The sequence below is a fragment of the Homo sapiens genome, chromosome 1, assembly GCF_000001405.40.
Source record: "Homo sapiens chromosome 1, GRCh38.p14 Primary Assembly".
NCBI lineage: Eukaryota > Metazoa > Chordata > Mammalia > Primates > Hominidae > Homo > Homo sapiens.
In genome coordinates, this window is record NC_000001.11 from 229,534,896 (window position 1) to 229,559,619 (window position 24,724).

General features: G+C 45.5%; 1 protein-coding gene and 2 pseudogenes across 5 annotated transcripts in view, besides 3 other annotated features; 1 reads left to right on the forward strand and 2 right to left on the reverse strand.

The window, feature by feature from the left end:
* Positions 1 to 23,812, reverse strand: part of ABCB10 (ATP binding cassette subfamily B member 10) — a 42,126-nt gene extending 18,314 nt beyond the window's left edge. The window contains exons 1-7 of one of the 5 annotated variants that reach the window (XM_047416590.1): positions 23,241 to 23,812; positions 14,339 to 14,539; positions 12,604 to 12,806; positions 7,342 to 7,476; positions 5,711 to 5,857; positions 4,561 to 4,696; positions 3,919 to 4,012 (exon numbers count right to left, since the gene is read on the reverse strand). In XM_047416590.1, the coding sequence (XP_047272546.1) occupies positions 3,919 to 4,012; positions 4,561 to 4,696; positions 5,711 to 5,857; positions 7,342 to 7,476; positions 12,604 to 12,806; positions 14,339 to 14,539; positions 23,241 to 23,757 (1,433 nt within the window). In that variant the 5' untranslated portion in view covers positions 23,758 to 23,812. Of the gene's footprint in view, positions 1 to 3,918; positions 4,013 to 4,560; positions 4,697 to 5,710; positions 5,858 to 7,341; positions 7,477 to 12,603; positions 12,807 to 14,338; positions 14,690 to 21,844; positions 23,168 to 23,240 lie in introns of those variants that run through there. The other 4 variants (NM_012089.3, XM_011544135.4, XM_047416589.1 and 1 more) reach the window with 4 other exon arrangements.
* On the reverse strand, positions 169 to 294 carry RNU4-21P (RNA, U4 small nuclear 21, pseudogene; annotated as a pseudogene).
* On the forward strand, positions 15,010 to 15,127 carry RNA5SP78 (RNA, 5S ribosomal pseudogene 78; annotated as a pseudogene).
* Positions 23,022 to 23,471: a silencer, noted in NCBI's record as "silent region_1932". NCBI's record gives its function as "represses an Ori minimal core promoter by ATAC-STARR-seq in GM12878 lymphoblastoid cells {active_cell/tissue: GM12878}" and the evidence as "EXISTENCE:reporter gene assay evidence [ECO:0000049][PMID:35858748]".
* Positions 23,532 to 24,231: a silencer, noted in NCBI's record as "silent region_1933". NCBI's record gives its function as "represses an Ori minimal core promoter by ATAC-STARR-seq in GM12878 lymphoblastoid cells {active_cell/tissue: GM12878}" and the evidence as "EXISTENCE:reporter gene assay evidence [ECO:0000049][PMID:35858748]".
* Positions 24,402 to 24,591: an enhancer, noted in NCBI's record as "active region_2704". NCBI's record gives its function as "activates an Ori minimal core promoter by ATAC-STARR-seq in GM12878 lymphoblastoid cells {active_cell/tissue: GM12878}" and the evidence as "EXISTENCE:reporter gene assay evidence [ECO:0000049][PMID:35858748]".

The following is a 24,724-nucleotide window of genomic DNA, read 5'->3' on the forward strand; positions in this document are numbered from 1 at the left end:
CAAGCATGGTGGCGGATGCCTGTAATCCCAGCTCTTTGGGAGGCTGAGGCACAAGAATTGCTTGAGCCCGGGAGGTGGAGGTTGCAGTGAGCTGAGATGATGCCACTGCACTCCAGCCTGGGCAACAGAATGAGACTCCCTTTAAAAAAAAAAAAAAAAAAAAAAAAAAAAAACCTTGCCAATGCTGACTACATTGCAAGTCATCACAGAAGGGTATCGAGAAAAGTTTTCAATTGGCAATAATCACGCCTCGGATAAACCTCACTGCCTATGATACTGCCACTGTGCTAAGCTAAACATATTCTTACCATCCAATCAAGCGGTTATACTCCTTGGTATTTACCTAAATGAGCTGAAAACTCCTATCTACACAAAAACCTACACATGGATGTTTATAGCAGCTTTATTCATCATTGCCAAAACTTAGAAGCAGCCAAGTGCCCTTTAGTAGGTGAATGAATAAACTGTTGTACATCCACACAATGGAATATTATTCAGTGCTAAAAATAAATGAGCTATCAAGCCATAAAAAGACATGGAGAAACCTTAAATGCATATTTCTGTGAAAAGAGCCAATCAAATGCTACATACTGCAAGATTACAAATATATGACATTCTAGAAAAGGCATAACCATGGAAACAGTAGGTTGCAGAAGGGTGATGAATAAGCAGAGCTCAGAGGATCTTTGAGGCAGTAAAACTACTCTGTATGATACAGGAATGTTGGATACATGTCATTTTGCATTTGTCCAAACCCATAGAATGTACAACACCAAGAGTGAACCCTAATGTAAACTGTGGACTTTGGGTGTAATGCTGTGTCAATGTAGGCTCTTTTTTTTTTTTTTGAGACAGAGTCTCACTCTGTCACCCAGGCTGGAGTGCAGTGGCACAATCCCAGCTCGCTGCAACCTCCACCTCCCAGGTTCAAGCAATTCTCCTGTCTCAGTCTCCCGAGTAGCTGGGATTACGGGCATGAACCAGCACACCCAGCTAATTTTTGTATTTTTAGTAGAGACAGGGTTTTGCCATGTTGGCCAGGCTGGTCTCGAACTCCTGGTCTCAAGTGATCTGCCCGCCTCAGCCTCGCAAAGTGCTGGGATTACAGGAGTGAGCCACTGCGCCCAGCTGTAGGTTCATTAATTGCATCAAATGTACCACTCTGCGGGGGATGTTAATAGGGAGGCTGTGCATGTATGGGGGCAGGGGTATACACCCCTATCTCCACACAATTTTGCTATGAACGTAAAACTACTTTGAAAATGGTATTAATTTTTAAAAAGAAGGGAGTGAGGGAAAAAAGAAAGAAGAAAAAAAAAGTAAGGCTGGGCATGGTGGTGCACACCTATAATCCCAGCACTTTGGGAGGCCGAGGCAGGAGGATCACTTGAGCCCAGGAGTTTGAGACCAGCCTGGGCAACACAACATAGCAAGACCCTGTCTCTCCAAAAAATAAAAATAATTACCTGAATATGGTTGTGTATGCCTGCAGTCCTAGCTACTCAGGAGGCTGAGGCGGAAGGATCACTTGAGCCCAGGAGGTCGAGGCTGCAGTGAGCTAGGATTGTGCTACTGCACTCCTGCCTGGAGACAGAGTAAGACCCTGTCTCTAAAACAAAACAAAACAAAAAAGAAGTAAAGGTAAAGAGTCAAAAGTAGTTTAACATAGTTAAGAGCTTTGACTCTGAACAACAAAAGCACAATGGCCCTGGAAAAATAAAATGCAATCTCTCGCTATAATGAAATATTATTCAACCATAAAAAGGAATGACATACTAGCCCAGTTGCGGTGGCTCATGCCTGTCATCCCAGCACTCTGGGAAGCAGAGGCAGGCAGATTGCTTGAGCCCAGAAGTTCAAGACCAGCCTGGGAAACATGTCGAAACTCTGTCTCTACAAAAACTACAAAAACTAGCCAGGCATGGTGGCGCATGCCTGTAAGTCTCAGCTACTCAGGGGGCTGAGGTGAGAGGACTGCTTGAGCCCAGGAGGTCAAGGCTGCCCTACTGCACTCCAGCCTGGGTGACAGAGCAAGCCCCTGTCTCAGGAAAAAAGAAAAGAAAAAAAAAAAAAGGAATGAAGTACTGATACCTGCTACAATATAGATGAACTTTGAAAATATTATGCTAAGTGTAAGAAGCCAGGCACAGGAGGACATATATTGTATGATTCCTTTTATATGAAATAGCTACAATAGGTAAATACATAGAGACAGAAAGCAAACTTTGGTTGCCAGGAGCTGGCAGGAGGAAGTAAAGTAGATAGACTGCTTAATGAATATTGGTTTTCTTTTAGGTGATGAAATGGTTTGGGAACTAGATGGAGGTAGTGGTTGCACAGCATTATGAATGTACTAAACACCACTGAATTGTAAACTTGAAAATGGTTAGGTTTTGCTTTTCTTCATACAGTACTTCTGACTTCATCTTAGCAGAGAATGTACTTAGAATCATTGGGGTTTTTACCCCTAGTATGTCTTTCTAGGCAGAAACCAAAATAAAAATTCTTATTTAATAAATAAAATAGAATTTCTTGCTTTGTAGATTATAGAATCATTTTAGACAGCGATTCTATAAAAGTATAAAATTACTTTAAAAACATAAAAGCATGGCTGGGTGCAGTGGCTCACACCTGTAATCCTAGCAATTTGGGAGGCTGAGGCGGGCGGATTGCCTGAGCTCAGGAGTTCAAGACTAGCCTGGGCAACATGGTGAAACCCCGTCTCTATTAAAAAAATCCAAAAAATTAGCCAGGTGTGGCAGCACGTGCCTGTAGTCCCAGCTACTTGGAAGGCTGAGGCAGGAGAACTGCTTCAACCCGGGAGGCGGGGGTTGCAGTGAGCCGACATCATGCCACCACACTCCAGCTTGGGCGACAGAGCAAGACTCCATCTCCAAATAAATAAACAAACAAACAAACAAACAAACATAAAAGCACTTAAAATCTAATTTAAGTTGTTGGGCATTGGTGGTTCAGTGGTAGAATTCTCACCTGCTAATTCAAGTTGTTGGATTAAATTCCTATCACCTTAGGCATCTATGTTATAAATGTGGAAGAACTGGTGGCAACAGATGTACACTGACCTACCCATATTTTCTCTTATCCCTCCTCGCACCAGATGGCAGATCCTGAACAAGACAGTTGACCAGAGTTGTGGGCTAGCCTGTGGTTAAGAAAGCCAAATTACCCAATCTCTGCACGCAGACAAAGCCTTAGCAGCACCTCCCATAACCAGTGGTGGTAACTGACTATAGCAATGGATTAGAACTGTGTTTTCCAACCCATTCTGTGGAAGGCACAGTTGTGAATTTGTCCGTTGTGAACAGAGAGGGCAATAGAACAACCACAAACAGAAATAACGTCTATCATGCCAAATGATTCAGAGGAGGGAAGAGGAGGGGCTGAGAAAGATCATGTCTAGCATGGCAGAAAACATTAAGATGAGGGGAGGCCAGGGAGGAAACCTGGAACGTGAACAGAAAGGCCAGGGAGAGGGGAAGTAGGGTAGGTAGTCCACTTGAAGGAGGACAGAAGACCTAGGGGAACAGGACCACAACAGGGTGTGAAACCTCCAGCCCAGCAGGCTCAATCCAGGAAACGGAGAGGGAAGAGCTACATACTGTCTGTGGGTCCTCCTGAACCGGTCCACCTTCTCGTTTCCCAAACCAGCCAGCACCCCAAAACATCTTAAAATCAGTTTTTATTTAAGACCAGCCAGCAGAACTAAAATGCTTTTTTCAGGGGTCTCTGAAAATCTCATTCCAGAAAAAAATCCTCACTTGCCTGCAGATGTCTACGGAAATGCCTCTACCTTCAACAATTAGACAGATACAAAACCCTGAAAATAAAACTCTCTGGTTGAGGCAACACCATAGGATACCTGATAATGTTCCATTAATCAGACCTTAAGCTACTTACCTGACCTTTCCATCTTGATTTTCAAAGACAAGAAGGGAAACAAAAACCAGGAAATCATTTGTCCCAAGTTGACTGGGGATGCATTCCTGTTTTCCTTTATCCGGGAATGAAAAATAAAAGCTGAACTCTCACAGATTCTTAATAAAAGCAGGCAACTCTGTTTCATACACTTGATAATTTATAAATATTTTTTGATTGCTCATTAATTTTGAATATGGTCGACTTTGTGCAAAAGGAATTTTATTCTCCACTGATTTGCCAATCACGAAACCATGACTAACACAGGACTATGGGTTTCTGTGTCCACACTTGCTCAGCGCCGCCCTCCTCCTGCCTGCACCTGTGAGCAAGTGAACAAATGGTCTGAAGACACAGGCTGGGAAATAACCACTCCAGAGCGATGCTGAGCTATAAGAGGCCTGCAAAGATCCCCAAACTTCCCAACCAAGGAGCTGTTTGCTCACCTGCTGGGGAGGGTCACACTCATTTTACTTCTTTAAAAGCCCAGTTGGAATAATAACATTCTAGGAAATGCTTTTTCAGTGGAAGTTAATTGAAGTAATGTGAAAGTTCAGTTTCTCTTTCAGAAATGATGCTCTGATTTTTAATTTGTAACACCCCAAGCCTATTTAAATTATTTACCTCCAATGCTTATTCCAACCCAGAAAGCATACATTAGGAAGGAAGAGAGTTCACCCACGGTCATGTGGGCACTGCCCATCAGCAGCCCTCCTTTGTACAGGACAGAAAGCACGATCAGGTTTCCGGAGAGCCCAGTCTGTCGAATGAAGAAAACACAGAAGTCAGGTGGGAATCAAGGACCCAGAATGTGAAAAGCATGAACACGGCCTGTAATGTCCCTTTTTCATTCAACTGTCACAGCAAGATTTTTCCAAAATATTAATTTCACCTGAGTTTCAAATTAAAAATGGTTTTGTAATATTGCAATAATGAAGAAAACAATCTCATCACCATGAAAACCTATAAGCTAAGTCTCCCATCAGATCCTGATTTTATCCCATCTACTCAGTTTGCAAAAGATAAAAGTAATATTAAAGGTTCCTTCCCTAACTAGAGGAAACAAATAAATATCTACTGTATAGGTTTATATAATATAATCAGATGTTCTGGGCAAGGACACCAGCCTGAGGAGCTGGACTCCTGTATGTATGGCCTGCTTTTACCATGGTTACGTGTGTGGTTGTCTTAGGTATAGGGGAGGCCTTCTCCGGGCCACTGCTCCTTATCTGTTAATCATAGCAATGACGGAATTGCCTCTGAAGTTCTTTTCAGTTTACACATATCTGGAATTTGCCCTCATGGTGATTTTCTATTTCAGTGTCCTATTTGAGTGCATTGTGATTGATTTTTTGTACTTGTTTCTTGAAACACACTGAGGTGATTTTGGTTAATCCTTAGACTTTGCTGGCATCAGAATGACCTGGAAGGCCTGTTAAACAGATTGCTGGCCCCAGTTTCCTACCCAGCAGACCTGGGGTGGAGCTGAGTCTTGGTGAGGCAGACCAGTGCTCAGGCAAAGCTGATGCCGCTGGCCTGCACCGCACAAAGAATCAGTGCCCGATCACACCATGCACTGACTTTTCTCTAAGGACATTTACTTGTTTCTTCCTTTTTCACAAAAATATTTTAAAGAAAGTCATTCTTGGCCTTGAAATTAAGACTAAAATTTTAAAAATTAAAATTATTTTCTACTTATGCTGAGCACCACAGAATAAAACTCTCACCATTCTAACATTTGCCAATTTTACTTTTTCCAAAGTGATCTACTTACTGCTCCAAAGAAACCAGCCCGGGCGAATGCCTCTTTCCTTGCTAACTGCATTACATGGTCCACTTTGCTGGCATATTTCTCGATTTCAGTCATTTCTTTCCCAAAAGCTCGAACAGTTCTTACATTTCCAATACGTTCCTCAGCTAGCTGGGAGAATAATAAATACATTTCAGGAGGAGAAGGGTCATATTTCAAGAGCTTCTAAGAAGGAAAAATAAAATGTGGTTCTCATTTTGTTATTCATTAGAAAGAAAAGAAAAGAAATAGTGATAGTAAGAAGTGAGAACTCCACAAAAGACACTATCAATGGAAAGCCACTCTTGATACATGACTAAGTCAAAAAAGAGTGACAAAGCAGAGTATACAAAACAATCCTAGTTGTGGGGGAAAAAAATCTATACCTAAACATATCAGAAAAACATAGAGGCAGAAAAACAGGAGTATATGTAGATGCAGAAATGCATTTTTATGCAGAGAAAAAGACAGACTCCAAAATGTTAATAATGTTAATTCGAAAAGACAGGATTATGCGTGTTTTTGTTTTCTCTCTTTATATTTTCAAATTTTTCAACAATAAACATGCATGGTTTTTGTAACATGCAAGTATAATGGTTATTTTTTATTTTTCTTTTTTTTCTGGAGCGGAGTTTCACTCTTGTCACCCAGGCTGGAGTGCAATGGCGCAATCTCGGCTTACTGCAACCTCCACCTCCCAGGTTCAAGCGATTCTCCTGTCTCGGCCTCTCAAGTAGCTGGGATTACAGGCACAAACCAGCACGCCCAGCTAATTTTTCTATTTTTAGTAGAAACAAGGTTTCACCATGTTGGCCAGGCTGGTCTCAAACTCCTGACCTCAGGTGATCCACCTGCCTTGGCCTCCCAATGTGCTGGGATTATAGGCATGAGCCACCGCACCTGGCCATTTTTAATTTTTGAAAAGATAACGTTGCACAGCACTGCAAAGCTAGATTTATTAAATTAATGAAACACTTATCTAGTAACTATTTTCAAAACCTGATTAACTGTTTTGTCCTATAACAAATAGTGATAGTGGCTAGGTATGGTGGTTCATGCCTGTAATCCCAGCACTCCGGGACGCCAAGGTGGGAGGATTACTTGAGCCCAGGAATTTGAAACCAGCCTGGGCAACACAGTAAGATCATGTCTCTACAAAAAATTTTAAAAATTAGTGGGCATGGTGGCATGGGGCGATAGTCCCAGCTACTAAGGAGGCTGAGGTGGGAGATCACTCGAGCCTGGGAGGTTAAAGCTTCACTAAGCTGTGATTGTACCACTGCGCTCCAGCCTAGAGTGCATGAAAAAACTTTTCTCATGTACCTTGTCTCAAAAAAAAAAAACAAAAAAAAAAAGAAAGAAAAGAAATAGTGATAGTAACAAGTGAGGACTCCATAAAATGTTTAGTGAAGTTAGATCTACTTTGAGATATGGGTAGAAATCTAGTCTAGAAAACAGAGTAGTTTAAGTTTCATGGATCTTGGGGTAATTTCTAATGAAAGGAAAGGCAGGCACTTCATTGAAAAACCTAAGTACATCCCTTAGGATCTGCCCTCTAGGATCCTGGCTATGACCCCATTCTGCTGGAAACCACGCGGACAGGAAGGGGCCTTTACCTGAGTGGCTTGTGCCAGGGAATCCTGAGTGACTTTGGTCAGTTTCCGTAGATATCGCCCATAAATTACAGCAATGATTGACACTGGAGGCACCACGCTCAAAACAAAGGTGGCCAGATTAGGTGAGACAAAAAACTGTCAAAAACAAAAAAAAATTCAGAGGTGTTTGTTACATTGGGTGGCAAGACATTCTCATTACCTACGAAAGGGGAGTGTGTGTGTGGGTGTGTCTGTGTGTGTGTGTGTTTAAATTAACAGCAGGCTTGAAGGTACTGTCCCCAAGTTGTTACATCCTGTTTTGATGGAATTTTTCAGACATCTTTATTCTTCACAAAACCCCATAAATATTCAGCATGCCACATAGAAGAAATGTGACAAGAAATTGCTGAAGAAAGAATCCTCAGGCCAATACTAGATCAGACCACGCGGTTTAACAACAGAGTGGGAAGAGACAGGATGGGGGTTTGGCAGAGGCCCATTCTGCTCCACGCTCCAGTCCACCTCAGGAGTTGTATATTCAGGTCTGAACCACCTGCAGGCACTGAACAACCACAGCAACACGTCCCATCAAAATGACCAAGATGGTGAAGTCACCAAAAAACCCCATTATCGGGTGGGGTGTGGTGGCTCACGCCTGTAATCTCAGTACTTTGGGAGGCCGAGGCGGGCAGATCACCTGAGGTCAGGAGTTCGAGACCAGCCTGACCAACGTGGTGAAACCCCATCTCTACTAAAAATACAAAAATTAGCTGGGTGTTGGGGCACGTGCCTGTAATCCCAGCTACTCGGGAGGCTGAGGAAGGAGAATCGCTTGAACCCGGGAGGTGGAGGTTGCAGTGAGCCAAGATTGAGCCACTGCACTCCGCCTGGGCAACAAGAGCAAAACTCCATCTCAAAAAAAAAAAAAAAAAAAACAGCACATTGCATAACAGTCAACAGAGGACTTGGAGGACACAACTAACAAGTCGAAGAAGAATTAGAGCTGCTTTTATGGCTCAGTGGACTGAAGTCAGCAGGATGGATCTGGGCTCAATATACTGAGGAGCTTCTAGCAATTGGAATTGCTGAAAGAATAACCTAACTTCTGGAAGTAAGTAACAGAGGGTTTTCCTGTCAACATTGCAATTTGGTGATTGTACTTTCAATAGTACTGGCATCTCTTCGACAAATTACTAAAATCTACCATATCTCATTTGCACAGAAAATAGTATAATCAGTACACGGCTAAATAATACTAAGGAAAAACTGCAAACTGAAACATAAGTGGATGGATCAACCAATCATTCACTCATTCATTTACTCATTCAACAAGTTATTACTGAGAGCCCACGTTACTGAGTGCAAGCACTATTCCAGGCACCTGGGAGATAACCAACCCTCACAGAGTTTTCATGCAAGAAAGAAGAGGTGAGACTTAGATAATAAACAAGTAAAAGAAAGAGAAAGTATCACTGCAGATGTAACACAATCTTGGAAGACCTCTCCCCCAAGAGGGAAGAGCCATTGCATAAAGGCCCTGAGGCAGAAAGGAGGTTGGCACCTTCACAGAGGAGCAAGCAGATGTGCATAGGAATGTCCCACCCTGAGAAGACAAGTCCATCAGGACACCTGGGGTGAGTCTTGGGGAACATAATCATATCTCTGATGGTCACCATCAGGACATGAGACCAACAGGGCAGGTCTAACACTTCTGGGGCCTGAACACAACTGATGTCAAAATGAACCAACTGGACAGGTGTCCTCTGTGTAGGGCAGGCACAGTCCATCAAGATTCTCCTAGAACTGTCCAGAACCACCCCCCTCCCTTCACTCTGGTTCCACACTTAATGAAAAACCTTCTGATGACTAATACAGGGTGCTGGCACCATAATGAAGTGTTTTGAATAGCAGAAATGGGCTAGGCATAGTGGCTCACGTCTGTAATCCTAGCATTTCGGGAGGCTGAGGCAGGCGGATCGCTTGAGCCCAGGAGTTCAAAACCAGTGGGCTGGGCAACATGGTGAGACACTGTCTCTATAAAAAATACAAAAATTAGCCGGGCATGGTGGCGCACGCCTGTGGTTCCAGCTACTCAGGAGGCTGACGTGGGAGGATCACTCGAGCTCGGGAGGCAGAGGTTGCAGTGAGCCAAGATGACACCACTGCACTACAGCCTAGGCAACAGGGTGAGACCTTCTCTCAAAAAAAAAAAAAAAAAAAAAAAAAGGAATAGCAGAAACACAACTTAATGGTGGGTAGGCCCACTATGTAAATTAATAAATTGGCAGTATGCCATACACAATATCAGGTTCTCATAACTGGACTTCCCCTATGTCAGGTCCATGAGTTTGTGCAGGAGAAACAAAGTCACATTTCTGATCCCCTAGAGCCAAAGATCAGATCCTAGGTGAAGCCACTTCCTGAGGCCCTTTTACAGACTGAATGGAAATTCCCCCTGAAATTCACATGTTGAAGCCTTAATCCCCACCATGGCTGTATTTGGAGATGGGGCCTCTAAGAAAGTAACTAAGGTTAAATGAGGTCGTTAAGTGTGGGGCCATGATCCAATAGGATTAGTGTCCTTATAAGAGACACTAGAGCACACTCTCTCTCCACTATGTGAGCACATGGCAAGATGGCAGCTGCCTACCAGCCAAGAGAAAAGGCCTCAGAATGAAGCTATTTTGCTAGCACCTTGACCCTGGACTTCTAACCTCCAGAATTGTGAGAAATACATTTCTGTTGTTTCAGCCAAGCCACAAGAAAAGGCCTCAGAATGAAACTATTTTGCTAGCACCTTGACCCTGGACTTCTAACCTCCAGAATTGTGAGAAATACATTTCTGTTGTTTCAGCCACCCAGTCTGTGGTATTATTATGGCATCCCAAACAGACCCCTTTGAATTGCTCATCTGACCTACACTGAATTCCCTTTCCTTGTTACAAAAAGTACCCCAAGTGATTTTTCCCAGCTTGAACTCTTCCTGATCCCCAAAACTATTCATATTTGGAAAACGGCATGTTAGTGCAGGAAGGGTCCTCTTCCAGAGGTTTGCTTCTCTCTTAGCTGGAAAATCATGAGATTTCAAAGCTGTTTTTCATTCCGTAAGTCAGATCTAATAGGCAACACACCCTTCCTCTCTAAGTGCTTCATGGGACACAAAGGACAGAATCCAAGCTTTTCCACTTGTGAGAAAGGATTATTTACAGTTCTTATTCCACGAGTCTAGAACTGCACTGCCCAAAACGATAGCCCTACTGGAAACTTGAAATGTGGCAGGTATGACTGAGACATTGACTTTTTAATTGTATTTAGGTTTAATTAAAATTTAAAAGCCTATACTCCATTCAGTTATTGGCAAACTATTAAGTATGTCTGGAAAACTTGAGTATGTCAAACTACTTTTTCAATTGTACATTTTATAAAATCTAAATATAGATCAAGTACTTTCAATGAAAATTTAGCATCCGAATTAAGATGTTCCTTAAGTAGAGAATACACACCAGATTTGGAAATTCAGTTGACCTTTGAACAACATTGGTCTGAAATGCATGGGTCAACTTATACATAGATTTTCTTCCATCTCTGCCACCCCTGAGACAGCAAGAACAACCTTTCTTCCTCCTCTCAGTCTACTCAGTGTGAAGACAATGAGGATAAATACTTTTGTGATGAGCCGGGCGCAGTGGCTCACGCCAGCAATCCCAACACTTTGGGAGGCTGAGGCAGGCAGATCACGAGGTCAGGAGTTCAAGACCAGCCTGGCCAACATAGTGAAACCCCATCTCTACTAAAAATACAAAAAAATTAGCGAGGCGTGGTGGCTGGCACCTATAATCCCAGCTACTCGGGAGGCTGAGGCAGGAGAATCACTTGAACCCGGGAGGAGGAGGTTGCAGTGAGCCAAGATCGTGCCATTGCACTTCAGCCCGGATGACAGTGCGATACTCCGTCTCAAAAAAAAAAAAAAAAAGCTTTTATGATGATCCACTTCCACTTAATAAATAATAAATATATTTTACCTTCCTTATGATTTTCTTAATACCATTTCTTTTTTCTAGCTTACTCTGTTATAAGAACATAGTATATAATACATATACCAAATACATGGTAATTGACTGTTAATGTTATCAGTAAGGCTTCTGGTCAACAGTAGGCTATTAGTAGTTGAGTTTTTAGGGAGTCAAAAGTTATACTTTGATTTTTGACTGTGTGGGCTTCAGTGTCCCAACCCCTGCATTGTTCAAGGGTCAACTATAATATGAAAGAAATAATATAAAATACCTCATTAATAATTTTGATATTAATTACATCTTGAGATGACAATATTTTGTTTATACTGGCTTAAACAAAACATTATTAAAATTAATCTCAGCCAGGTACAGTGGCTCAAGCCTGTAATCCCAGCACTTCAGGAGGCCGAGGCAGGAGGATCACTTGAGGCCAAGAGTTTGAGACCAGCCTGGGCAACATAGAGAGACCCTGCCTCTACAAAAAATATATATATATATTCTTTAAATTAGCCAGACTTGGTGGTGTGTGCCTGTAGTCCCAGATACTTGGGAGACTGAGGTGGGAGAATCACTTGAGCCCAGGAGTTTAAGACTGCAGTGAGCTATGATCTTGCCACTGTACTCCAGCCTGGGTAACAGAGTGAGACTGTCTCTAAAAAAATTAAAATTAAAAAAAAAATTAATCTCATTGGCTTCTTTTTGCTTTTTTAAATGTGGCTACTAAAACATTAAAATCACATATGTGGCTTGCATTGCCTCTCCAATGACCTGCAGCACTGGGCTGAATAGAAATACTGGTTGAAGAGGTAAGGCAAGCAGACAGGACAGGCACAAGCCACCCAGTTAAGGAAAGGAAAAAAGGCCATGGGAGTGAAGAGCTCTCCCCTTAAAAGAGCACAGTTCGACTTACACACACAGAGGAATGGAATTTAGTCACCGCTTGGTGCCACCCACAGGGTAGTACCCAGTGCTCCTTCTACCTGATGCTCTTTTCTGCCTTAATACCCCGGGTACACACATCTCAGAATACCCAGCAGTAACACATGAGTCCATTTTCCAGATAATCACTCATTCTGGAGAAATGAAGGTACAAGAGGCCATGCAGGCAGAGGCAATCCCCACGTTCCAGCAGCTTCTGCAACAGCACTTTTGGCTCTAGGCACTTACAGAATGATGCGAACCGCTCAGCTTGAGCTCGTCTCACACGTGAGAGGCCTGGTGCAAGCCAAGCCCTGGCAGGAAGGTACCAAGGGGAACCAGGCCCACATACCATCATACTGATGCCTACGGAAGCCTGGGCCCCGGCCCTGAGCCCATCTGAGAGGTTTTCAGTCACTGAGCGCCCCAGGAGTGCAGTGTCTGATGAGAGGCGGTTAATCAATTCTCCTGTGCGAGTCTTGTCAAAGAAAGCAACCTCCTGCCTCAGAATGGAGGAGAATAATGAAGTTCTCAGCCTATTCACAATGCGCTGACCTGCAAAAGCAAACACGAACAGGCTCACCAAGGGTAAAGACATCCATTACCATTATGGGGCAGCCACTTACTGTGCAGCAGCTTGGCCTGGAGTTGTAACCCTCCTGAGCAATGCAGCCTCTGAGCGTGTCTGCTGCACTGTATCCCATGGGTGGAAAGAGACTTTCCCAAACCAGGCACATTAACTGTCATGCACTACTAACACTACTTTTCTCTTATTAACTACAGACTGTGGGCGCTAGTGAGAGGATACAGGAATAAAATAAATATAACATGACTCAGAGGCCTTTTTTATTTTTACTTTTTTTTTTTTTTTAAGAGACTGGGTCTTGCTCTATCACCCAGGCCTGAATGAAGTGGCACGATCACAGTTCACTGTAACCTCAACCTTGTGGGCTCAAGCCATCCTCCCACCTCAGCCTCCTGGGTAGCTGAAACTACAGATGTCCGCCACTACACCCAGCTAACTTATTTTTATTTTTTATATAGACGGAGTCTTGCTATGTAGCTCAGGCTGGTCTCAAACTCATGGGCTCAAGCAATCCTCCTGCCTCAGCCTCCCAAAGTGCTAGGATTACAGGCATGAGCCACCACACTTGGCCGAGATTTTTTTAAGGTATTATTTACAAAGAAGTTTTATTACATTAACTTCCAAAAGCTCATTTTGTTCCTCCCTGGAAACCCTTTCCTGTATTGAACCTTCAAATGGCAAGAATTGGTTAATTATCCACAGAGATAAATGGAGAGCAACAGACTTCGAGTTGGTGTCCCAGGTTCTCTCATTATTGTGGCAGTGACCTGCCTGTAAAAACAAGACCTCTTCAGAGAAATACTAACAAAGTTATCATCCCAGCTGCTACTTAAGGAGAAACACAAGCATGGGGCATGTAAATGGGTTTCTGAAGCCTTCAGGAAGCCTCAGAAGTCCAGCTTCATGGCCAGGGGCCTCATTTTCTTTTTTTTTCTTTTTTTTTTTTTTGAGATGGAGTCTCGCTCTGTCCCCCATGCTGGAGTGCAGTGGTATGATCTGGGCTCACTGCAACCTCTGCCTCCCAGGTTCAAGCGATTCTCCTGCCTCAGCCTCCTGAGTAGCTGAGATTACAGGCACACACCACCACGCCCGGGTAATTTTTGTATTTCTAGTAGAGACGGGGTTTCACCATGTTGGCCAGGCTGGTCTCGAACTCCTGACCTCATGATCCACCTGCCTCAGCCTCCCAAAGTGCTGGGATTACAGGCATGAGCCACGGCACCCAGCCCGAGGGGCTTATTTTCAAACCTCCCATAAGACCGACATGATTGCCCTTACAGCTCAACTTCAACTATAAAAGAAGAGTTGAGAGTGCTTGATCTAAAATAATCTGTAACTCCAACATCTGGGCAGTCATTGGACTCTATCCCCACTTAATGGGATGCCAGGAAGAGAGGAAGAGAATGGAGCCTGGAGCACATGAGATTTGAGCCCGAACAAACCCACAGGACTCTACATCTTCTTCAGGATGACTCACATCCCTGAGAGGAGAGACTGTTACCTGAAGTTTGCATGAGGTAGACACGAATGGCATTGGCGGCAGCACCACACAGAAACACGGCACTGAGCCCTAGGCAGAGGCGGGTCAGGTTGTCGCTGTAGTCCACAGTGGGGTTGGTATAGATGACATCAATGATCTTCCCCAGGAAGAAAGGGGCAGACATGGAGATAACACTGGACATCGTGAGAAATCCAACCGCAGCTAGAAAACACAAGCACTCTCAATGTTCAGGTTGCTTCAGCAAAGGGGCTGCGGTGCTGAGTCCAGGAGGCTTCCTTGCCAAATAAGCTGTTGTCAGAGTATGCGTTGATCTCAGTCTCTAGCAGTTTCCTCCCTTTTGCTCCTCGATCTCTGACTCAAGGGAAGAACCAAATGGTTCCAGGTGAGAACAAGCAGGTTGACTAAGGAAGTGAGTGATCATATCTGAATCAGAGAAGATGACTTCTTAGTCTGATCAACTCTTCCTCACCAAGAAAAACTGGGAGCCAACTATGGAACCGTTCTGGCCAGCCCCTTCCTCCCCATCTCTTGATTTTGGTGTTCATCAGATTGTATTTTTCCTCCATTCATGCTATACATGCTATACTCCTTGGCATCTAACTATATTGTAACTTGAAGATCAAGCTGTCTAGTTAAAGCCCTTGATTACATCTAGTATCTCAAAACACTCTGTCTACGGCCATACACTCTGAACGCACCCAATCTTGTCTGACCTCAGAAGCTACGCAGGGCGAGGCCTCACTAGTACTTGGATGGGAGACTGCCTGGGAATACAAGGTGCTGCAGGCTTTAAACAAACAAACAACCCATTCCAGATAACTTTTGGAAAACCGTTTCACGGATCATTACACAGAAGCAAATGTCAATAAAACATGTGATATATTGCTTCTTAATATTGTATTATTGCTTTGCGAAATATCAACATGATATGAAAATAAATATGAACAGGATTGTTCATGCACCTAAAAAACAGGCAAACAAGATAGAGTCTTATCTGAAGAGAAAATATTGGCTTGGCACAGTGGCTCATGCCTGTAATCCCAGCACTTCAGGAGGCTGAGGTGGGTGGATTGTTTGAGCCCAGGAGATCCAGACCAGCCTAGACAACATGGCAAAACCCTGTCTCTACAGAAAATACAGAAACTAGCCAGGGTGGTAGCATGCACCTGTAGTCCCAGCTACTCAGAAGCCTGAGGTAGGAGGATTACTTGAGCCCAGGAGGTCGAGACTGCAGTGAGCCATGATTATGCCACTGCACTCCAGCCTGGGTGACACAGCAATATGCTGTCTCCAAAAAAAAAAAAAAAAAAAAAAATTTTAGAAAATCCACATAAATAGGCCAGGTATGGTGGCTCACGCCTGTAATCCCAGCACTTTGGGAGGCCAAGGCGGGTAGGTCACTTCAGCTCAGGAGTTCAAGACTACCATGGCCAACATGGTGAAACCCTGTCTCTACTAAAAAAAAAAAAAAATACAAAAAATTAGCCAGGTGTGTTGGTGCGCACCTGTAGTCCTAGCTACTTGGGAGGCTGAGGCAAGAGAATCGCTTGAACCCAGGAGGTGGAGGTTGCAGTGAGCCAAGATTGTGCTGCTACACTCCAGCCTGGATGACAGAGCAAGACTCTGTCTCAAAAAAAAAAAAGAAAAGAAAAGAAAATCCAATTAGTAACAACACATATCACAGATAACTGCATTCATAATAAGACAAATGCATTTTTTTAAAAGATAGTGATGGGGGTCTCACTATGTTGCCCAGGCTGGTATCAAACTCCTGGCCTCAAGCAGTCCTCCCATCTCAGCCTTGCAAAGTGCTGGGATTGTGGGCATGAGCCACTGCACCCAGCAAAAAGTATTACTGTTATATAACCTTAATAAAGAGTCCAGAGCAAACTCAGTGCCAACTGGACATTTAGTCGACAAACAGAGTTCTAGGAAAAACATGGGCCTTTTTAAGTGGGGAACATTTAGAAAAATTGCTCTTGCCCCTCCTTAAGGTCTTTATAAAGTCCCCTCCCCAAAAAGGCCTGCTCTGACAGCCTCACTTAAAATACAGACACCCTACACTACCCACCTCACTCCCTCTCCATTTGTGTTCTCGAAGCTCCTACCTTTCAGCATTCTAAATGTTTCACTTGTTTATTTAGTTTCTCTCTCCATTAGGACATAAAAGATTTTGGTCTGCTTTGTCACTGATTGCCTACAGTGACAGGCACATAGGAGAATCTCAATCACTATTTTGTTGGATGAACAAACAAATAAATTGAACTTTGGCAATGGAAGCAATAACGTCTATCAGATCAAAATTCTTCAATAGCCTAAGCAGAAATGTGAATTCTGGCAGCTCATAAAGTCCATATGCCTGGCTTAAAATCCCATAATCACAATCTAACTGAATAATAGGAAGCTGGGCAAGGGTCACTTCATTTTGACGTAAAGCCCGGGGTCTTGTTTCAAAGCACCATGCTTCTTACAACAGTGCCCAAAGGGGCTTGAAGGCCCAAAGGACAGGGAGTGTGTCTAACTTGAGGTTCCGAGTACCTCAGCCTCGATGAACTGGCAGCTCCAGAAAGAGTCATCCTGGCAAATTCAGGATTCAGCAGAAAATTCTTTTTGTCCTTCATCAGTAGCTAATCTCTGTTCTTTCGCCTCAGTGAATAATTCCGAAAGCACAGTGTATGTGACCTGCTATATAAAGGTCCACCTCTTCCCTCCTCCTCTAGTTTTCTAAATCAGTTATGATTCTACAATACGAATCCATATGACATGAATGAAATGCCCCCTAATTATGATTCTGAGTCTTGTTCTCACATAGTAATAATGCTGATTACAAAGAGGAAGTAATTTAGCTGAATCCAAATTAATTTCAGGATATCCCCCCACACTTTTACTTTTTAATAATCATTTAAAAATTATCAGCTTGTTTTATTGTCATTTGCTTCTTTGTCCAATTTGAATGTAAGAAAAGTAAAATATTTTTTGGCTTTTAGTTAACTGGATTCTTGTTAATCAAGATCTGACTACATATCACTGTCTTCTGATATTAATGAATACTTTAGACTTGCTCCATAAACATCATTTCAGATTCCACCACAAGCCCTGGACACAACTGAGCATACTGCAATTCTGAAATTCTCCCACACCTTTTCTCCATAGTTAAGTCTCTTGCTTGCCCCCACCCTTGCCTGATGCGGCCCCAGCAACTTCTCCCATTATCTATTTCTTGACAGATACCTTCAAGTATCTTTGTTACCTCATTCTACTGAATTGCAGCAAAGATGGAAACAAATATCCTTCAAAAGAAAGGGGAAGGAAAATCTGAATTGCAGATTGCTGGACAACAGCGCTGGATAGAAGAGGTTGGGGGTGGTTGGAGGAAGCTGTACACTGTGCCTACCACCTGCCCACTGCTGAACAGGGCACCCATCTGGTTATATCAGGCAGGTACAGCAATCCCCACTGTCATTCAAGGACTCAAAGGCAGCACTTCAGAGTCCTCACCATTATCTGAAGGATCTGGCATCCATCATCTTAAATCCTCCCTTTCACCCTCATCTTATCCTCGTTTTTCAGAGAGGAATCTCGAACACAGAGAGAGGGAGCCTACGCAAGGTCTCCCAATTTACACATCACAGAACCACATTCTGCGACAAAGCCTGTCTTTGGCATCTTCCCACATCCCAAGCAGAGGAAGAGGAAGCACAGGCCTCACCTTGGAATCAGGGAAGGGAGCAGAAAGCCTGGCAGGATGGAGCAGGGGCAGAGACCTCATGGGTGCACAGGAAGGAGAACTGAGAAATGAAATGAAGCCTCTAGATTATAGAACAGAAGGATTTTGTGGCAAGGTCGGCCTAAAAGGGCTTTACACTGGGGAATGATCCAGCCAGATTTGCTTTTTTTTTTTGAGATAGAGTTTCCCTCTTGTTGCCCAGTGCAATGGCGCAATCTCAGCTCACTGCAACCTCCACCTCCCAGGTTCAAGCGATTCTCCCGCCTCAGCCTCCCGAGTGGCTGGGATTACAGGCATGCGCCACTATGCCTGGCTAATTTTGTATTTTTAGTAGAGATGAGGTTTCTCCATGTTGGTCAGGCTGGTCTTGAACTGCCGACCTCAGGTGATCCGCCCGCCTCAGCCTCCCAAAGTACTGGGATTACAGGCGTGAGCCACCGCACCCAGCCAGATTTGCATTTTTAAATGATCCACTCTGGCTACAGAGCGAAAGGAGCAGCGGACAGAGCACTGTTCTAGTGCCCTAGGTGAGAAGCAAACTTAGGGCGAAGTAGGCTGGGGACAGAGGGATAAAGGGCAGAGTATAGGACTACAGATATTTTTAAGAACTAGGACGTGATGACTGGTTGGATGTGAGCATTTTTCCTCTCTGAAAAATGAGGATAAGATGAGGGTTAAAGGGAGGATTTAGGATGAGGAATGCCTAACCTAGGAGGGCCGTTTTGAGGTTGAGTTGGTCAGCATTGGGTCGGAACCCTGACGAACTCAACCTCAGAACCGGCCCTCCTAGGTTAGGCATTCGTTATCTTAAGTTCTCCTTTTAAGCTCTGCCATCTAGCTGTTTGACCTTGCATAAGTCACTCCATCTCTCTGTGCCCAGTTTCCTCATTTGTAAAATGGCAATAGAAACAATCCCTCCCTCACAGAATTATGAGTAAACTACACACATATTCAAAGCATCTGGTACAATGCCCAGGGCTGAGTACACAAGAAATATTAACTATTATCTTTATTACTACCATTATAAGAACAACCCATGTCTCTGGCCAAGGCCAAGAGGTTCGCACTGCAGTCTCTCTCACTGAACCAAGAGACAGAAGAGGAAAGATGCTTTGCGGAGAAAGGTAACTTTGGTTTTTAGACATGTTTGGTTTGCTGGAGTCTGGGACACATTTCCACGGATGCAGGTGGGTGTGATGGAGAACACAGGAGTTGAGGGTGTGGGGGAGATGGAGGCTGAGTGAAGAGACTCGGCATCTGCGCTGGGTAGAGAATGAGTGAGGACATGAGCGGCTGACAGATGAGAAGGGAGTAGAGGAAGAAGCCAGGGACTCCAGGTTCTGGAAATCTGGAGAAGAAAGATCTGAGCCCCCATGTGTCTGGTGCAAGATCAGACTGTCTCTGTCCATGCTATTAGCATGCTCTAGAGTTAGGAGTATCCCAAAGACAAAATTAAAATAAAACAGTTAGGGGTACCTGTCCCATGAACCACAGGAGGGTTCGCCATGGACTCTAACAGACATACGATGGGAGCCACCTAGGTAATTTAAACTTCTCTAGTTGCCACATTATAAAAAGGAATACGTAAAATTAATTTTAATAACATTTTACTTGACCCAATATATCCAAAATATTATCCACACATGATCAACATAAAAAATTAGTAAGATATTTTACATTTTTTCTCTACTGTCCTTCTGGAATCTGATGTGACAGCACAGCTACAGAATGCTCAGTTTCGCTGAAACAATGTATTTCTGTAGCACACGCACATCCCTGGCTTTCGGGGGCAGTTCCGATTTCAAAGGTTCATCCATCCCAGCCCCCACAGGGCACTGTCCCTGCGGGATCTCCATCCTCACTGGGCTTCAGGAAGTAGCTACTCTGGCCTCCTTGCCCACCATACCCACTGCTTTTGTCACTATATTCACTGTGGTCACTCACGGCCCATCTTCATAAAATGCAACTACAAACTCAGCAAAAGCTGCCAGCAGGCTTCAGGTTCTCAGAGCAGTCCTGCCCTCAAACCACACACCAGCCCCTTATCAGTAACTGCAGTGAGAGGAGCCCTCCTGAGTCCTCCACACAGGCACCAACTGAACATGCCCCAGCGGAGGGGATACATGTGTGCAGTCCACAGTTTAATGAAGGCATGCTGCCCACCCCGCCGAAGCCCCCCACACAAAAAACCTCCAGGAGGCAGCTTTGCCCTAATCTCACAGTACTGTAGGGGCCCACATTTGCTCCTAAAACCCTGCCCCTAACTCACTCAGGTCAGAGCCTCATCTATCTGCCAGGCACAGCCAGACGGTTCTGATGAAGTGTCGCTTATCCCATCAATCCACACCCTGCTCCTCCTCAAGCACCTGCATCTTTTAAGAGTCCTTCTGGCCAAAGTGATACGATGGAGAATTATCAGTGAAAAGGGACCTTACATCTGTATGAAGACAGCTGCGAATTCCTCCCCAAAGGGGCGGCTTAGGCCTTCCTTTAGAAGAGGAATGTAACACAGTTATGCTAAAGCTGCTTTCAGCACACGTCTGTACATATTTCATGGTAGACTGTGTTTTTAAAGTTTCTGATGCAATCAAAGTTTTCTGTTCACACAGTTTAGGAGGCATACCCAGCAAAATGCTGAGACAGATGGAGGTATTATTATTAAAATATAAAGCTGCATTTTTGAAAAAAGATTTTTGTATTTTTCTAAAAATTAACAAATTAACATTGGAATTCCTTTTCAGCTCAGCTTTTTTAGTGTTTTGATTAGAAAATACACACACGCAATTGCTCTTTACCTCCAGCATTTCAAAGAGATGTGCCAACACCTCAGGCTGCTCTTAGAATGATAAATTACACATTTTTTTTTAATTACAAATTAACAATGACCACCACTTCCTCTTAATCCTAACTGGCTTTAATATATAATAACTTCTCAGGAAATCATACATCTAAATAAGGGCTTTTTATCAGATATCCTTATCCTCATAACATACAATATGTATTTATCTGTTTGAAAAGCAAAAAAAAAAAAAAAAATAGTGTGCCAACCCTAGGCTTGTTTCTTCAAATTATATATTCATAATTTCTCAATGTGGTGGAACAAAATATATTCTGTTCTTAAAATAAAAAGAAGGCCGGGTGCAGTGGCTCACACCTGTAATCCCAGCACCTTTGGAAGGCCAAGGTGGGCAGATCACCCGAGGTCGGGAGTTCGAGACCACCCTGACCAACATGGAGAAACTCTGTCTCCAAAAATACAAAATTAGCCGGGTATGATGGCACATGCCTGTAATCCCAGCTACTTGGGAGGCTGAGGCAGGAAGATCGCTTGAACCCGGGAGGCGGAGGTTGCGGTGAGGTGAGATCACGCCATTGCACTCCAGCCTGGGCAACAAGAGCAAAACTCCATCTCAAAAAAAAAAAAAAAAGGTACGAGCTGGGTGTGGTGGCACATGCCTGTAGTCCCAACTACTCAGGAGGTAGAGGCAGAGCTGCTTGAGCTGAGGAGTTCAACACAAGTCTCAGCAACACAGTGAGACCCCTATCCCAGAAAAACAAAAGAAGAAAGAAAAAAGGAGGCAGTCTCGTCTTGTTTAAGGCTGTCACCAAAACATACTAGCATGGCAGGATATCTGGGGACAGAGTGAGGGGTCACAGGAACAATGGTCATGGCATAAGAGGACTGGGCACGTGTAGGCCACCAAAGCCTGACACCTAAACACCCTTCCTGACATCTAGTATTTCAGAAACAAAACAGAACTGGATTTCCTTACACTTACTTTGAGTCACATACAGAAGTGGTGGGCGCACCCGATGATGCTCAGGGTTTCTAAAGGCCTCACTCTGTGCCTGGTGGTATGGTCATTTATTCCTTCACTGAAGGCACTCTGAGCGCCTGCTCTGTGCCGTGCACATGCTAAGAACTAGAGACAGAAAGATGAATCGCACAGTCCCCGTCTCAAGCAGCTCAAAGTCCAGTGAGAGCTCCTAGTCTCCAATGTTTTTAAAAAGAGGAAAGAGAAAAAGATATTTTACAACAAAATCTACACTCAACCAACTGAACAATGAAATAATTCTCTTTACACCCGAGTGATATCAACAGCCCCCTAAGCTTTCATAGCAACTGGTAGATGAAAAGTCGCCACCCTAACTGCTCTCCTCCACTGTGCAAACCTACTCTAAATCCCAAATCACTACCCAGGAGGGTCCTTTCTAAAGCAATGGATTTGCAGCAAAGAATGCTTTTCTGGTGTTGCACCTGACAACCTCACAGGCCCCACAGGCCCCCTTCCACAGCCCACAGGTGCAGGTTTACCTCTATACATACGAATATTTCATAGATGCTTCTCCCCACTAACCTAGAAGCCCCAGCAGAAGTGAGGACCATGTTTCCTTGTGCATGCCACTGTAAACCCAGGGCCCAGTCCAGAATGAGGGCTCAACAGATGTTTATAGAAGGAGTGAAGATTTAGAGAAATCGAAAAAATTTTAGATCTTACAAGGCCCTTGCATCTAAACACTCCTCCAATTATGGCTAAAAAATGAGGAGCTATAGAAAACTGTCCTATTTAAATTTTGTTTCTAAAAACATTCATTTTGGCTTCTTTTAAAAAAGTTACTCAATTACTGAACAGATCACTGGTGTGGCCTGTTGAACACAGTGCTGTAACTTCCTGCACAAGAGACAAGTCTGAAAGTTTTGCTTTCCGCTGTGAAAGCATTGGTGACTGCTTGACAGACTCGCTTGAAGCAAATAATGTGTTTTTGGTTAAAAAAAAAAAGTATAAACGCCTAATAACAAAATAGGCATATTTTTGGCTAGAATTTTTTTTTCCAAGGAAAAACCTCCAGCTCATTTTGCTGCCTAAGCCAAAACAGATGCTCCCACTAAGTTGGTGGTGGAACAGACCCAAAGATTCCAATAATGACATATATAACGTGTGTCAACAAGAAAACAAGTGTAAAATCTGCAAACGAGTCCCCAGCTAAGGCGAAATCTTGACAACGCTACTCTGAGGTGAGCGATCCCCTCCCTCCTCCGGGGTTAGGAGTGGCCCAGGAGAGGCGGCGGTGACACGCGCTCTGCGGCCCGGCCGTGTCCCTCTCGGCGCCCCGGGACCCCGCGTGTGGAGAAGGAGAGGCCCGGCGGAGGGAAGTGGCCGGGGAGGACCCTACCTGCCAGCCTCCGGCGCTCAGGGTACGCCAGCCCCAGGAGCTTCCGGGCCTCCGGGAGTCCGGCCGCTGCGGGGCGCAGCCGCCCCTTGTCCCCGGGAGGCGCCGCCGGCCCGCGCCGCCAGGCCTCGTCCCCTGCCCAGGCAGCGGCTGCGGGACCGCCCGGGAACCGGGCGCGCGGGAGCCGAGGAGCGCCTGGCCCGGCAAAAGCCCCGCACCTGCAGCTGCCGGGGCCGCGAGCCCACAGCCCCAGGAGCCGCGCGAGGCCCAGGACGCCCCGCGAGGCGCCCGGACCCCCGCCCCGGCAGCCGCTCCTCCAGCGGCGCGCGGCTCCAACGCCCCAGAGCAGCGCGGGCCCCGCGCCCCATAGCCGCGCCGGCCTCAGGCCAGTGAACGGCGATAGGGACCCGGGAACGCGGCTGGCCGCGGCCCACACGCAGGCTACCGGCAGGAGCCGACCTGGCTCGGCAGGGCTCGGTGGCTCGAGCAGCCGCAGCGGCCAGGCAGGGGGGCCTCGCATGGCGCTGCGTGCGACCCGTACGCCTCAGCCCGCCGGCCAGGCGCGCGCAAAGCCCGAGGACCCTCCCGGCCCGGCCCCGAGCAAAGGGCGTGGACGCGGTGGCGCCCGCCCCTCCCCGCTGGCTGTCACCCGCCTTATCGTGCCTGCACCCTCGGGCTGCGCCCGCCCCCGCCCCATCCTCGTCCGCGCGGTGCCGCGCCTCTCCGCCCCACTCCGGGGACTGCAGCTACCCGGACCTTGCAAGCCACCCTTCCGAGCGCCCCCAACCCGCTCGGGTGCCCTCCCTGCAGCGCCCCCAACTGCCCGCTGGCGGAGGAGCGCCGGGCGCGCCAGCTGGGACGAGGCCCGGGAAGCCCAGGAGCACGGCTGCGCCTGCGTACTGGGCGCAGGGAACTTTTTCGCGCTTCGCCGTCCCCTCTGGTCTGAACTTGGGAACGACACGAGCTCTTTCTCACGCCGGCAGACCGGGCGGAGCGCGCAGACGCGACCACACGATGGCCGGCACAAAGATGGGGCGGGAGGACAGCGTGCTGGATACGGCGTGGGGCGGGTCCGCGGCCCGGGAGACCCATGCTGGGGCGGCCCTGTCACTCGTCTCGCTGCCAAGCACAGGGCTGAGGTGCGGAGGGACCACTGAGAGGACTTCGCTGCGTGTCAGCTCAGCTCTGGACGGCGTGGAGGAGGTGGTTGGCGAATAGTGAAATGTATATAACTTTGAGAAGGGAAGAGATCGTTTCTTTTTTTTCTTTTTTTTTTTTTTCTTGAGACGATCTCGGCTCACTGCAACCTCTGCCTCCCAGGTTCAAGTGATTCTCCCTTCTCAGCCTCCCAAGTAGCTGGGATTACAGGCATACGCCACCACACCCGGCTGATTTTGTATTTTTAGTAGAGACGGGGTTTTACCATGTTGGTCAGGCTCTTTTCGAACTCCTGACCTCAGGTGATCCGCCCGCGTCAGCCTCCCAAA